The sequence below is a fragment of the Homo sapiens genome, chromosome 12 (assembly GCF_000001405.40).
Source record: "Homo sapiens chromosome 12, GRCh38.p14 Primary Assembly".
Taxonomy (NCBI): Eukaryota; Metazoa; Chordata; class Mammalia; order Primates; family Hominidae; genus Homo; species Homo sapiens.
Genome location: NC_000012.12, coordinates 49,815,650 through 49,828,110, shown reverse-complemented (window position 1 = coordinate 49,828,110; position 12,461 = coordinate 49,815,650). Strand labels below are relative to the sequence as shown.

The window sequence follows — 12,461 nt, the reverse complement described above, 5'->3', positions numbered from 1 at the left end:
GTGCACCCCCACCCCACCCCCTCCCGCCCCCCGCGCCATCCTCGCGCACACTCCGTGGCCCCGGAAGGGAAACTTTCGGGAGTGGGGGATGTTCCGGGGGCCGGGCTCCCCTCCCTCTTTGAAAGCACTGACCTTGCCCCAGCTGCTCACCCCACCCAACCCGCATCCCACCGTCCGGGTGCCGCTTAGCGGTGCCGGGTTATTGCGGGGGGAGGGGCTCTCTCCCCAAAGCGCAGGCGCGGAGACGAGCCTGGGGCTCCCTTTCGCACTCCTTCCCATTCCCCGTGGCCTGGGGCGGTAGGGCCTGGGGAAGGCGGGGAGAGGCGGAAAGACCGGGTCTCCTAGAGAACAGCCCCTTCAAAGGCTTTGAGGGGCTGCGGGAAGGAGGAAGGACCTGGTGGGCTGCACGCTGAAGAGAAGCTAAGGGAGGGAGAAGGGTTGGTTGGGCAGGGAGCAGGGACAGGGCAGCGTCTGCAGAAAAGGCCCTCTGGGTGCTGGCTGCGGTGCCAGAAGAATGCAGAGAATTCATCTGTGCCCGACGCTTCCCTGGCTTAGCCCAACTAAGAAAGCGGCTGCCCGGATCCTAGCTCCCCTCTCCCTGTCCTGGGCCCAAGGTCCCGCGTTATCTCCAGTCCTGGCACGGCCCCAAGGGCACAGAGGGCCCTCACCTCCCACAGGCCTGGTTTTCCAGGCATCCCAGGGCTGGATCAGCTGAGTCCACTTAGTCTGTCCAGCTGCTACTTCTTAAAGGCCTGCCTTGCTGAGGAGCTGGGGGTCTTGGGCTAAGGAGTTCTCTGGCTGTAGAGGCAATCCCTCCCTCCCACTTCTCCGCGTCTGTCATGGGTCCTCCTTCTTAAGCACAATGGTCAGCCAGAGGAAGTGGCCCGGGCAGGGGTGGCCTGGGGAGCAGTAGAAAGAGTGTCAATGCCTTACCGTTTTGTGGTCAGTACTTTCGGGGAAAATGAACATAGCCCATTTGCCTTGTTGCAGACCCTCCCTTGCAGACATTACGCCATCTGGCTCTCTGAGACTCCTTGTGTGATAGGAAAATTCACTTCTCAAATTGGTCCCCCCATCTTCCTAAAAACAACCTGGGATTAGTGGGTTTCCTATCCCAAAGAAACCGTGTGTATTCCTTTCCGGGGAGATATTCCCATGTTCAAGCTTGTTTTCAAAGTCTATGGTCTGTGCATGAGGTGGCTTTGTCCCTCCAGCATCTTTCTCCAGCTCTGGCCCTCACGAAGAGAGTGAGGACCTGGAGGGGCAGGTGCTGTGGTTGGCAGGGAAGAAGGATCTTCATGATAGGCCGGTGAAGACCTAAGTGTTTGGGGAGCAAGCGGGTATCAATAAAGACAGAGTCAGAAGCTCTGGTCCCTACTTTTCCTAGCTTGCTGTATGACCTTGGCCAAGACAGTTTGCTCTCTGGGGCTCAGTTTCCCCATCTTTAAATGTCAGTAGTTGGACTAGATAGCTCTAATATTCCCTTCCACTTTTTGACATTGAATGGTTCCACTGATGGGTGAATCTATAGGGGAGAAAGGTCCTCTGGCAGAATGGTTCCATTTAGAGGGAGCTAAAGTGTTGGGTGTGCTTTAAATTGCAATTAGTTAGGATTAGAACCCTGGGTAGAGAGAACAGATTCCCTTATTCTAAGCCTGAGAGTAGACCTTGTCCCACACACCCCTGGTGCCTTGGGATATGAACTCCTGCTCCTGCTGGCTTGGGTTTGGCCCACCCATCACGCCTGTGGTGAGACATCCTGGCCCTTTGAAGAGGAGCTGAGAGAGGAGGAGGCAGCCAAGGGCCAGCAGGGTAAGCAGATTCCCAGGAGACAGTTTACGTCTCAGCTGTTGGGACTTGTTTTAGGATCTGGGCCAGGGAGCACAACATACTCACCCACCCGCCCTCTTATAGGAGGAGGGCAAGGAGGGCCCCACTGCTTTTGCCCATCCCACCCCCAGCCCTGCCCACCTCACTGCTGTACTCACACCCCCAGGTCCCAGGCAAGGGGCTAAGGATTCTTCCCCACCGCCCTCATCCAGCCCAGCCAGCCTCCCAGGCCCTGCTATACCAGCCAGTGGCAGCAGTGAGGAGAAGCTGCCCCCACCCCACCTTTCCCAGCCCCTTCCCTCCCCAGGGTAGGACTTCTCAGGAGTTGGGCTCTCCAGGTTGGGACTTGCTTTCCAGCCCAAGAGCCAGAGGTCTTGAAGTTCTTCTTGTTTGTTTTCATCCTCGGTCTCCCAGGTGAAGGGGAATGTTGAAGGAGAGGTGGTGGTTAAGGAAGCCCTGGGTTTGCTCATGTAGGGGCACATTCTCCCTGGGTTACTTTTCCCTCTGCTGGCTCTCCTGGGCCTGGGAAGCCCTCTGCCCTGGGCCCTGCTGCCTATGAAGGTGAAGCTGCAGCAGGAGGTGTTTAGGTTAAATCCCAAGGAAGCCTTCCTTACCGCTGTGAGCCGTTGGAATGGATAATGGAAGCTCCCAGGGAGGTCAGTTTCCCAGAAAGTGGCTAATGCTGGAGTCACTGTCAGACTGAAGGATGCAGCTGTTACTAGGCAGAAGCTGCTGTTCCCTCTTGGGGTGTGGCTCTGAGGCTGGCCAGCCAGAGGCCCCGTTAGAAGGAGGAAGAGAAAGGGCCCTTGCCTGACAGCCGAAGTGGGGTCCCTGACCCCATCATGCCTGAGTCACCAGAGCTGCATCTCTCAAAACAAGTGCCCTTTCTAGCCCCTGCTTCTCAGCCCCCTCCCCCAGTTCACCACCGCTCTCACTGTCTCCTTCGACAACCCTCACCCGAACCTGGCAGGTTCCCCGAGCCCCAGTCTGGCTGCATTAATGGACTGATTGGATTTTCTATACTTGGAGTTTGGGATTTCTGATTGAACATGCAAATTTATGTAAATCAATCTGGGATCTGCCACTACATCAAAACAACACAGAGCATAGGCTGGAAGGAATCCTAGAGACAGTCTAGTCCAACGCCCTCATGTTAAAAATGGGGAAACTGAAGTCCAGAGGGGGAAGTGATTCATGCGGTGGTGAGTGTCAGAGGCAGGACTCCTGATTCTGCTGTGTAGTTTTACATGGTCCCATTCTGCGTTAATGTTTTATGCATGAGGTAGCCTGGCTGGATTTAAGGCAGAGAGGGCCAGTTCTTGAACCTGAGATAGCAGAAAGCTGGGCCCTTGGAGAGTCAGAGTGTTATCGCAGGACCCTCCAGGGGCTCTGGTCAGCTTTGTAACATACCGAGGAAAAGCAGCTTCAAATCCCTGAGAACAAGACCCATAATATTTTCCCCCAGACACTGACCTGGAGGGTTGGAGGCTAAGGTCATTGGTTGCTGCCTGTCTTGGCCCTTGTGGTTTCTCAGGAGCTTAGATTTTGTCTGTCCCGGCATCTGTCACAGTACCAGGCACGCAGCAGGCCGTGGATGGACCTGCATATGCAATGCCTCCATCTTTGTTTATCCTTCTCTCCTAGTTTGAGTCTCTACTGGTTCCCTCCGGGGACACAGTGGGAAAAGGTCGTTGGTCTCTTAGGATGCTTTGCCCACCGTCCTCTGCCCTCTTGGAGGGCAGACGCCAACTGGACCTCCTCTGCAGGTTTCTACGGCACTGGCCAGACAGGCCTTGCTGTAGGAAGGATCTCTTTATTTTAGGATCAATACCAAGGATGCAAGGGGGCTTCAGAGATGGGCTGGGGTCCCCAAGAAGCAGTCTTCCCCATTTCTTGACTCTTCTTGATCTGATCTGCCTACCTGGCTGTAAGGTGCTCCCCACTCCCACTTCATGGACTGTGCCTGTGGCGTGGGGCTGTTCGGAGGGCTGAGCACTCACTTACCCTGTGGTGCCTGGGCACACTGTATAGATGTGGAGGTGCCTGAGGCAGCTGTCAGCCTGCTTTGTGACACTCTGGGAGGGTGGGGCATGGGCTTAAGAACAGAGGCCTTGACTCCCAGCTAAGGCTACTCACCAGGCCCTGCTGCAGCCTAGGAGGGAGCTTGGGACACATATCTGGGTCTTTCTTCACCTTCTCCCCAAACCCAAGTCTGGAGGACTCTGGAACGAGTACCCCTGTCTTCAGCACCTTCCCAAAACACTGCAGATATGGAACTGGCACCCTCACCCCCCACCGCCCAGCAGCCCTCGGCGCCTGTGTCTGTAGTTCTCTGTGAGGGGAAATCCTTCTCCTTGGGCCTCAGTTTCCCAGCCAGTGTTCCTGGATTAATCATGCATCACCACTGGGGTGTGGCATCTGCTCAATCATTACCATTTTCCCAGCTCTGGGAGTTAGGCAGATGAAAGAGGCCAGGCTGTTATTAAGGTGAATTATTGTTGCTGTTATTACTGATTTCTAAAACCCAGCACCAGCAGCTGCTGAGAAGAGCCCAGTCAGGCACAGCACTGTGAACCTTATGCTGGTCCTTGAACTCTGGGAATTCTCCAATATCCACTATGCTTTTTTTTTTTAATGTATAGATGTCTTAAAGGAGAGAAGACCCCATTCTGCTGCTCCTGCTGTTGCCTGCAGGGCTTGAGTGACAGGTGCTGCTTAGGACCTGTGGTCTGCATGTCTCCTCACTCTCATGTAGTTCAGCCTGAAATTGCCCCTGCCCTTAGACACTCTGGGTAGGCCAATGGTCAAGGTTTTTCTAGGCAGGGCTGTGAGGGGCCCTGGAACTCCCGTAGTGTGGCTCTGGGGTTCTCAGCAGTTGCAGTTCCCAGGGGCTGATTTACCTCACTCCCAGCTGGCTTGATGGGGGAGCTGTAATCGGCCCTTCTGTACAAGGATCTGTTCAGACACCCCCAGAACCTGCCCACAGCAGCACCAGGCACTTCCAGGGTCATTTACCCCACTTGCCCCAAACTTCCCCCTGCCCTCTGCCTCTGACCCTGACCAGACTGTCCCCCTTCCCAGGGACCTAGAATAAACCCAACTTTTACCCAGGTGGAAGTGCCCCTGACCAACTTCTGAATAGTGGTGTTACCATGCTCACACCACAGCCTGGGGTTAGGAGGGCCTCTCTGCTAACCCAGGGCAAGATTGCTGGAGAAGAAAGGATGTGAAGGCATCAGCAGCCCTGGATTGGAGCCCCCACATTCATCTGACCGGCCACCTCACCTGCTCCCTTGTCCTAGGGGCCTGGAAGAGGTTGGATGCCACAGCTGGGAGGAGCTTTGGAAATCAACTTGTTGAGTAGTTGGATTCCTTCTAATATTTTTTGCAGTTTTATTTTTTCATCAGGTTTTATAAATATAGTTTGAAAATTGAAATCTCTGCTGGGCACGGTGGCTCATGCCCAGCACTGTGGGAGGCCAAGGTGGGCGGATCACTTGAGGTCAGGAGTTCAAGACCAGCCTGACTAAGACGGTGAAACCTCATCTCTACCAAAAAATATAAAAATTAGCTGGGTGTGGTGGTGTGAACCTGTAGTCCCAGCTACTGGGGAGCCTGAGGTGGGAGGATCACTTGAACCCAGGAGGCAGAGGTTGCAGTGAGCAGAGATTGAGCCACTGCACTCCAGCCTAGGCAACAGTGAGACCCTGTCTCAAAAAAAAAAAAAAAAAATCTCACTCCCACCTCCATCGCGTTCTCCCCCATAATCATTTATTAGTTTCTTGTATATCCCTTGAGTTTCCTTACACAATACCAAATACACACAAATATATATTCTTTTTTTCATTCTTACCCAAAATACAGCGTAGCATGTCTACTGTATTTGTTGCCTTACCTATTAGCAGTACCTGGGTGTGCCTGGATTTCTCCTGCCGCCTATGTCGGCTCTCCTGTTTCTGGCTGTCTTAGTCTGTTTGAACTGCTATAACAACATACCATAAACTAGGCAGCTTAGAAACAACAGAAATTTATTTCTCACAGCTCTAGAGGCTGGGAAGTCCAAGGTGAAGGCAAGGGCAGATTTGGTGTCTGGTGAGGGCCAGCTTTCTGATTCCTGGACAGAGGCTTCTTATTGTGTCCTCACATGGTGGAAGGGGTGAGGAATCTCACCAGGCCTCTTTTCATAAGAGCACTAATCCCATTCATGAGGGCTCCACCTCCATGACCTATTTACCTCCCACAGCACCACCGCCCCGCCGCCCCACAATAGCATTACCTTGGGTATTAGGATTTCAACATGTGGATTTGGGGGGATACAAACATTCAGACCATAGCACTGGCCTTGACCACTCATCCCAGGGTTCCCCAGTTGGCCCCAAGTCATGAGCAGTGTTTGTTCACCTTTGTATACCAAACTTCATTCAGATGCCAGGATTCAGGTCAAACCGGCCTCTGAGGAATTCTCAAGCTATATGAGCGGCCTGTTCATTCAGCCAGCAGATTATTTAGAATTTACTGTGTGCCGGATGCTGTGCTAATCTCTAGGGATACAGTGGTGATCAAAAAAGTCCACGTTAATCAAGTAATTAAACAGTTTTATAATTATAGCTGTGATAAGGGTTGCAAAGAAAGGACATGTGCTATAAGAGCAAGTGCTCCAAGGACCTGCCCCACCTAGTGTTGGGGGTGGCCCGTGCCGAGGCACATGACATGGCACACATGCTGGGAGCAGGAGTCAGGCCAGGACTGCAGATGTGGGTACCATGTGGCCTAGAATGCTGGCTTTCTCAACTTGGCTTGAGTGGCTTCTCTTCTCCCCACTCCCGCAGTCTGTGGGATGTCCTGGGCCCCTTGAGTTTTATTGTGTCCAAGACAGGAGACCCCCTTCTCTGCCAGATGGTGCTGATCATTTCTCTTCCCCCACCCGCATCACATCGTCTTCTATTTCCCCAGCTCTGAGCCTGCAGGCTCCTGAAGCTGGAGGCTTTCTTTCCATTCCAGGCTGAGGGGAAGTTGGGGGGTGGGGATGGGGGTTTGCTTCTCACTTCCTCTGTAGACAGCACCTCACTTCCTGTCCCCCAGGCTAGAAGAAGGCTAAAACTCTTGGCTTTGCTGTCCCTTCCTTTCTCCTCCCTGACTGCTTTCCTGGAAAGCCTACAGGCCTTGAAGGAGCAAGGCAGCATCAAAGCCAGCAGCTTATCCCTGAAGGCCCTGCCGAGCTCCTTACCCCACCCTTACCCCGCACAAGGGACCTGGCTCCTCAGCTGCAGTCCTTTTCTAGATGGGATATTCTTCTCTCCTGTGCCCTGCAGGGGAGAGGAGTCAGAGTCAGAGGGCTCACCCCCATTTTACAGGAAGGAAACTGAGGCCCAGAGGGGTGCCAGCTTCACCTAGGGTCACGCGGTTTGGCTGCATGAATCTCAGGAGCAGAATCCCAAAAGCCTGACTCCTGTTTGTGATCACAAACAAGAGCAGAGCCCAGTGGGGGCTTGTGGGTGAACCAGAGCTGTTTTCTCCTCCCAGCGTAGAGCTGACAGCTTGGGGTGTCACCTCTGGGCTCTGGCTGGATGGTGCCCACTAGCTGAGCACTGGAGTTGCTTGAGTGCAGAAGGCATATTGGCTGGCCAGAGCCTATTCTTTTTGTAGAAAGAAGCCAGGAGATGGGGGCCTGGGTGCAGTGGCTCACGCCTGTAATCCCAGCACTTTGGGAGGCCAAGGTGGGTGGATCACAAGGTCAGGAGATCGAGACCATCCTGGCTAACACGGTGAAACACCGTCTCTACTAAAAATACAAAAATTAGCCAGGCATAATGGCACGCGCCTGTAGTCCCAGCTACTCGGGAGGCTGAGGCAGGAGAATCGCTTGAACCCGGGAGATGGAGGTTGCAGTGAGCCGAGATCGCGCCACTGCCTTCCAGCCTGGGCGACAGAGCAAAACTCCATCTCAAAAAAAAAAAAAAAAAAAAAGGCCAGGAGATAAAGTTTGGGGGATGGGCACTAGGAGCTGGAAGGGTATCTGCCCAGCACTCCTCCCCGTGCAGGTGCAGCCTCCCAGGCCCTATTGTCTCAGACCTGGGAGAAAATACTAATAGCTGATGTTTCAGTGGTCAGCTCTGCCATCACCTCCAGGAGCCTCTCTGCCTTGGTTCCTCCTGTGGGGCCCAGCATGTGTCTCTGGTTATGCCCAGGATATTGAAAAGATGCCAACTCCCTAATTCGGCCAGGGGATAGGAGAGGAGTTAGTTATTGGCATGGGCCAGGGAAGCAGGAAACCATCACCTTCAAATGTCCTTAGATCCAGCTGCACTGAGTCATTCTGGTTCCATATACACCCAGAGGTTTCTGCCTCCTCACTTCTGTTGCTGCCTTTCCTTCTGTGTGGAATGACACCCTTCCCTTTTGGTTGTATGTAAACCCCACCTGTCTTTACCTTCTGTTCACTTGATGTCTCCAATTCTGAAAAACGGTTTCAGCTTTAGCTTAATATTTCTCTCCTGATTTTTAAAGTTCTTCAAAAGACTCCTCTTATGGAACTTCCTTCATAGTACAGCTATCTATCCACATGTCTGTTTTCTTTTCTTCCCTTGAGGCAGAGTCTTGCTATGTTGCCCAGGCCGGTCTTGAACTCCTGGGCTCAAGCAATCCTCTGCTTCTATGCATTCAACTTTTTAGAATCCACATATGAGATCACGTGGTATTTGTCTGGGCCTGGCTTATTTCACGTAACATAATGTTCTCCAGATTCATCCACGTTGTTACCAATGACAGGATTTCCTCCTTTTTTAGGACTGAATAGTGTCCTATTATGTGTATATAGCATCTTTTCTTTATCCATTCATCTACTGATGGATACTTAGGTTGGTTCCATATCTTGACTACAATGAATAAACATGGGAGTACAGATATCTCTTCAACATCCTGATTTAATGGTAGTTCTATTTAAGGGTTTTTAATTTTTTTTTTTTTTTTGAAGCGGAGTCTTGCACCGTTGCCCAGGCTGGAGTGCAGTGGCGCAATCTCAGCTCACTGCGAGCTCCACCTCCCAGGTTCAAGCTATTCTCCCGCCTCGGCCTCCCAGGTAGCTGGGACTACAGGTGCCCACGACCACGCCCGGCTAATTTTTTGTAGTTTTAATAGAGATGGAATGGTCTCGATCTCCTGACCTCGTGATCTGCCCACCTCGGCCTCCCAAAGTGCTGGGATTACAGGCGCGAGCCACTGCACCCGGCCTTTTTTTTTTTTTTTTTTTAAATACAAGGTCTTGTTGTGTTGTCTAGGCTGGTCTTGAACTCCTGACCTCAAGTGATCCTCCTGCCTTGGCCTCCCAAAGTGTTAAGATTATAGGTGTGAGCCACTGGGTCTGGCCTATTTTAAGTTTTTTGAGAAACTTCCATACTATTTACCATAGTGGCTATACTAATTTATATTCCCTCCAGTGGTGTACAAGGGTTCCCTTTTCTCCACATCCTTGCCAACACTTATTTGTCTTTTTTATAATATTCTAAATGTATGAGGTAATATCTCATTGTGGTTTAAATTTACATTTCCCTGATGATTCGTGATATCGAGCATTTTTTCGTATACCCACTGGCCATTTGTCTGTCTTTTAAGAAATGTCAGGCTCTGCACGGTGGCTCATTGCCTGTAATCCCAGCACTTTGGGAGGGAGAGGCAGGCAGATTGCTTGAGCCCAGGAGTTCGAGACCAGCCTGGGCAACGTGGTCAAAGTCTGTCTCTACAAAAAAAATCCAAAAAATTAGTTGGGCGTGGTGATGCATGCCTGTAGTCCCAGCTACTCAGGAGGCTGAGGTGGGAGGATCAGCTGAGCCCAGGAGTTTGAGGTTGCAGTGAGCCATGATTGATTGCACCACTGCAACCAGCCTGCACTCCAGCCTGAGTGAATGAGATGTGTGGTTTACAAACATTTTCTCCTATTCTGTAGATTGTCTCTTTAATCTGCTGTTTCCTTTGCTCTGCAGAAGCTTTTTAGTTTGATGTAATCCCCTTTGTTGCCTGTGCTTTTGGGGTCATATCCAAAAAGTCATTGCCCAGACCAATGTCATGGAGTTTTTACCCTGTATTTTATTTTCTCCTAGTAGTTTTACAGTTTCTGGTCAGGTTTAAGGTTTTTTTGTTTTTTTTTTTTTCCAAGACACAGCCTTGCTGTGTCACCCAGGCCAGAGTGCAGCAGCGCGATCTCGGCTTACTACAACCTCCACTACCTCCTGGGTTCAAGAGATTCCTGTGCCTCTGCCTCCCAAGTAGCTGGAATTACAGGCATGAGCCACCACACCCAGCTAATTTTTGTATTTTTAGTAGAGATGAGGTTTCACCATGTTGCCCAGGCTGGTCTCAAACTCCTGACCTCATGTGATCTGCCTGCCTTGGCCTCCCAAAGTGCTGGGATGATAGGCATGAGCACTGCGCCCGGCCAGGTTTAAGTTTTTAATCCATTTTGAGTTGATTTTTATATATGGTGTGAGATGAGGGTCTAATCTAATTTCAGTCTTCTGCATGTGAATATCCAGTTTTCTCAACACTAATTACTAAGGAGACTGTCTTTCCCTGTTGTATGTTCTTGGCATCTTTGTCAGCAATCAATTAACTGTAAACATGTGGATTTATTTCTGGTCTCTCTATTCTGAACCATTCATCTAGTATCTGTTTTTATGCCAGTACCATGCTATTTTGATTACTATAGCTTTGTAGTAGGTTCTTCAAATCAGTTAGTGTAATGCCTCCAAGTTTGTTCTTTTGCTCAAGAACAAACTTTTGCTCAGCTTATTTACCTGGCTTTACTCTAGGATGTGGTGTGATAGGTAGCATGGAGAATTTTGGATTCTCAGGGGTAGGTTCAATTCCTATATTCTAGAAATAAGAGGATTTTAACCTCTATTGTTTACTCTATCAAAGTAATTCTTTTGTGAGATGTATTGCTTTGGCTATTTGGGGTCTTTTATGGTTCCATATGAGTTTTAGGATTTTTTTTCCTATTTCTATGAAAAATATAATTGATATCTTGATAGGGATTGCATTGAATCTGTAGATTGCTTTGGGTATTTATGGACATTTAAAAAATATTAATTCTTCCAATCCCTGAACATGGGACATCTTTCCAGTTATTCATGTCAATTTCTTTTATCAGTGTTTTATAGTTTTTAGTGTAGAGATCCTTCACCTCCTTGGTTAAACTTATTCCCAATATTTTACTATTTTGTACTTTTTTAGGTAGTTCGTTGTTAACATATAGAAAGGCTACTGATTTTTTTTTCTTGCATGTCTTATGTCCCCTATAGACTGAAAGCTCCAAGAAGCCCAAGAGCTGACCCTTCTCTGAATCGCCCCCAGCTATATACCCAAGCATTGCATTTCCTAGTAAGTTTGTCGGTTCAGAAATATCTGTAGAATTAATAGGTTAGTACTATTTGCCAGAGAGAGTCACTGCGGTCTAAGATTGGGTTGAGAACTTTTTTTTTTTTTTTATGAGACAGACTCTCACTCTGTCACCCAGGCTGGAGTACAGTGGCGCGATTTCAGCTCACCACAACCTCAGCCTCTCAGGTTCAAGCAATTCTTCTGCCTCAGCCTCCCAAGTAGCTGGATCACAGGCGCGTGCCACCATGCCTGGCTAATTTTTGTATTTTTAGTAAAGACAGGGTTTCACCATGTTGATCAGGCTGGACTCGAACTCCTGACCTCGTAATCCACCCACCTTGGCCTCCCAAAGTGCTGGGATTACAGGCATGAGCCACCGCGTCCAGCCTTTTTTTTTTTTTTTTTTTTTTGAGAGGGTTGAGAACTTTGAAAGGGTCAGAGACAAATCTGAAAATGTCCCTTCCTCACCCTCAGTATGGTTTGTCCTATGGGCCCTAAGAGCCATTTGATGGAGGATAGTTAGGGGTCTTTTGGGGAACCTGATGAGCCCATGTATGTTCTTAGCTGTCCCTTCTTTCTAACCTTCTTTCTGATGAGAAGGAAAGGAGATCACCAGTTCTGCAGGGGGCAGGGTGGCTCAGGGCCTGGTCTGGTTGGTAGGAGTGGTACACTGGCAGAGGGCGTGGCAGGGAGTGCAGAAATACAAGGAAGGGCCTCTCCTCGGGGAGCTCCCCTTCTAACAGTATAGGGAGTCCCCTCCTCTTCACAGGGAATGTTCAAGAACACAATGCATTGCATTTGGAAATACTGATCTTGCAGGAGGCACTTGTAGAAGACAGAACAATGAGGCTGCACGAGTCCAGGAAAGCTTGTCCGAAGAGTTGCTCTGGGGCCAGACAAAGGCAGAGCTTTGAGGGTTGTGTTGAGGGCTTTGGTCGTTCCCAAAAGCAGTAGGAGGTCGTGGGAAGATTTGAAGTGGGAAGAACACCATCAGATTTATAGTTTTAGAAGGTTGCTATGGTGGAGCTCCTTGGAAAAGTGTTTGTGGCAAGGAAAATACAAGATAAGCCGGGAACATCTTATGGCAAGAGAGTGCTTAAAAAAAAAGGAAGCACTGGCCGGGTGTGGTGACTTAAGCCTGTAATCCCAGCACTTTGGGAGGCCCAGGTGGGTGGAGCTCTTGAGGTCAGGAGTTCGAAACCAGCCTGGCCAACGTGGTGAAACCCCATCTCTACTAAAAATATAAAAATTAACCA

The 12,461-nt window shown here is 50.1% G+C and overlaps 1 protein-coding gene and 1 pseudogene across 6 annotated transcripts in view, besides 3 other annotated features; both read left to right on the top strand.

The window, feature by feature from the left end:
* NCKAP5L (NCK associated protein 5 like) overlaps positions 1-12,461 on the top strand; it is a 37,262-nt gene that overhangs the window by 303 nt on the left and 24,498 nt on the right. For 2 of the 6 annotated variants that reach the window (XM_011538611.3, NM_001368048.1), the window contains exon 2: positions 11,127-11,205. The exons of the other annotated variants lie outside the window; for them this stretch is intronic. The gene's annotated coding sequence lies outside the window, so the exon portion shown is untranslated. The remainder of the gene's footprint in view (positions 1-11,126; positions 11,206-12,461) is intronic. 6 annotated transcript variants of the gene reach the window in all.
* Positions 240-289: an enhancer, noted in NCBI's record as "active region_6335". NCBI's record gives its function as "activates an Ori minimal core promoter by ATAC-STARR-seq in GM12878 lymphoblastoid cells {active_cell/tissue: GM12878}" and the evidence as "EXISTENCE:reporter gene assay evidence [ECO:0000049][PMID:35858748]".
* Positions 1,433-2,299: an enhancer, noted in NCBI's record as "NANOG-H3K4me1 hESC enhancer chr12:50219595-50220461 (GRCh37/hg19 assembly coordinates)". NCBI's record gives its function as "activates a minimal SCP1, AML or CMV promoter by ChIP-STARR-seq in naive and primed H9 embryonic stem cells {active_cell/tissue: H9 hESC(naive and primed)}" and the evidence as "EXISTENCE:reporter gene assay evidence [ECO:0000049][PMID:30033119]".
* Positions 2,300-3,166: an enhancer, noted in NCBI's record as "NANOG-H3K4me1 hESC enhancer chr12:50218728-50219594 (GRCh37/hg19 assembly coordinates)". NCBI's record gives its function as "activates a minimal SCP1, AML or CMV promoter by ChIP-STARR-seq in naive H9 embryonic stem cells {active_cell/tissue: H9 hESC(naive)}" and the evidence as "EXISTENCE:reporter gene assay evidence [ECO:0000049][PMID:30033119]".
* Positions 10,630-10,704, top strand: NMTRQ-TTG6-1 (nuclear-encoded mitochondrial tRNA-Gln (TTG) 6-1; annotated as a pseudogene).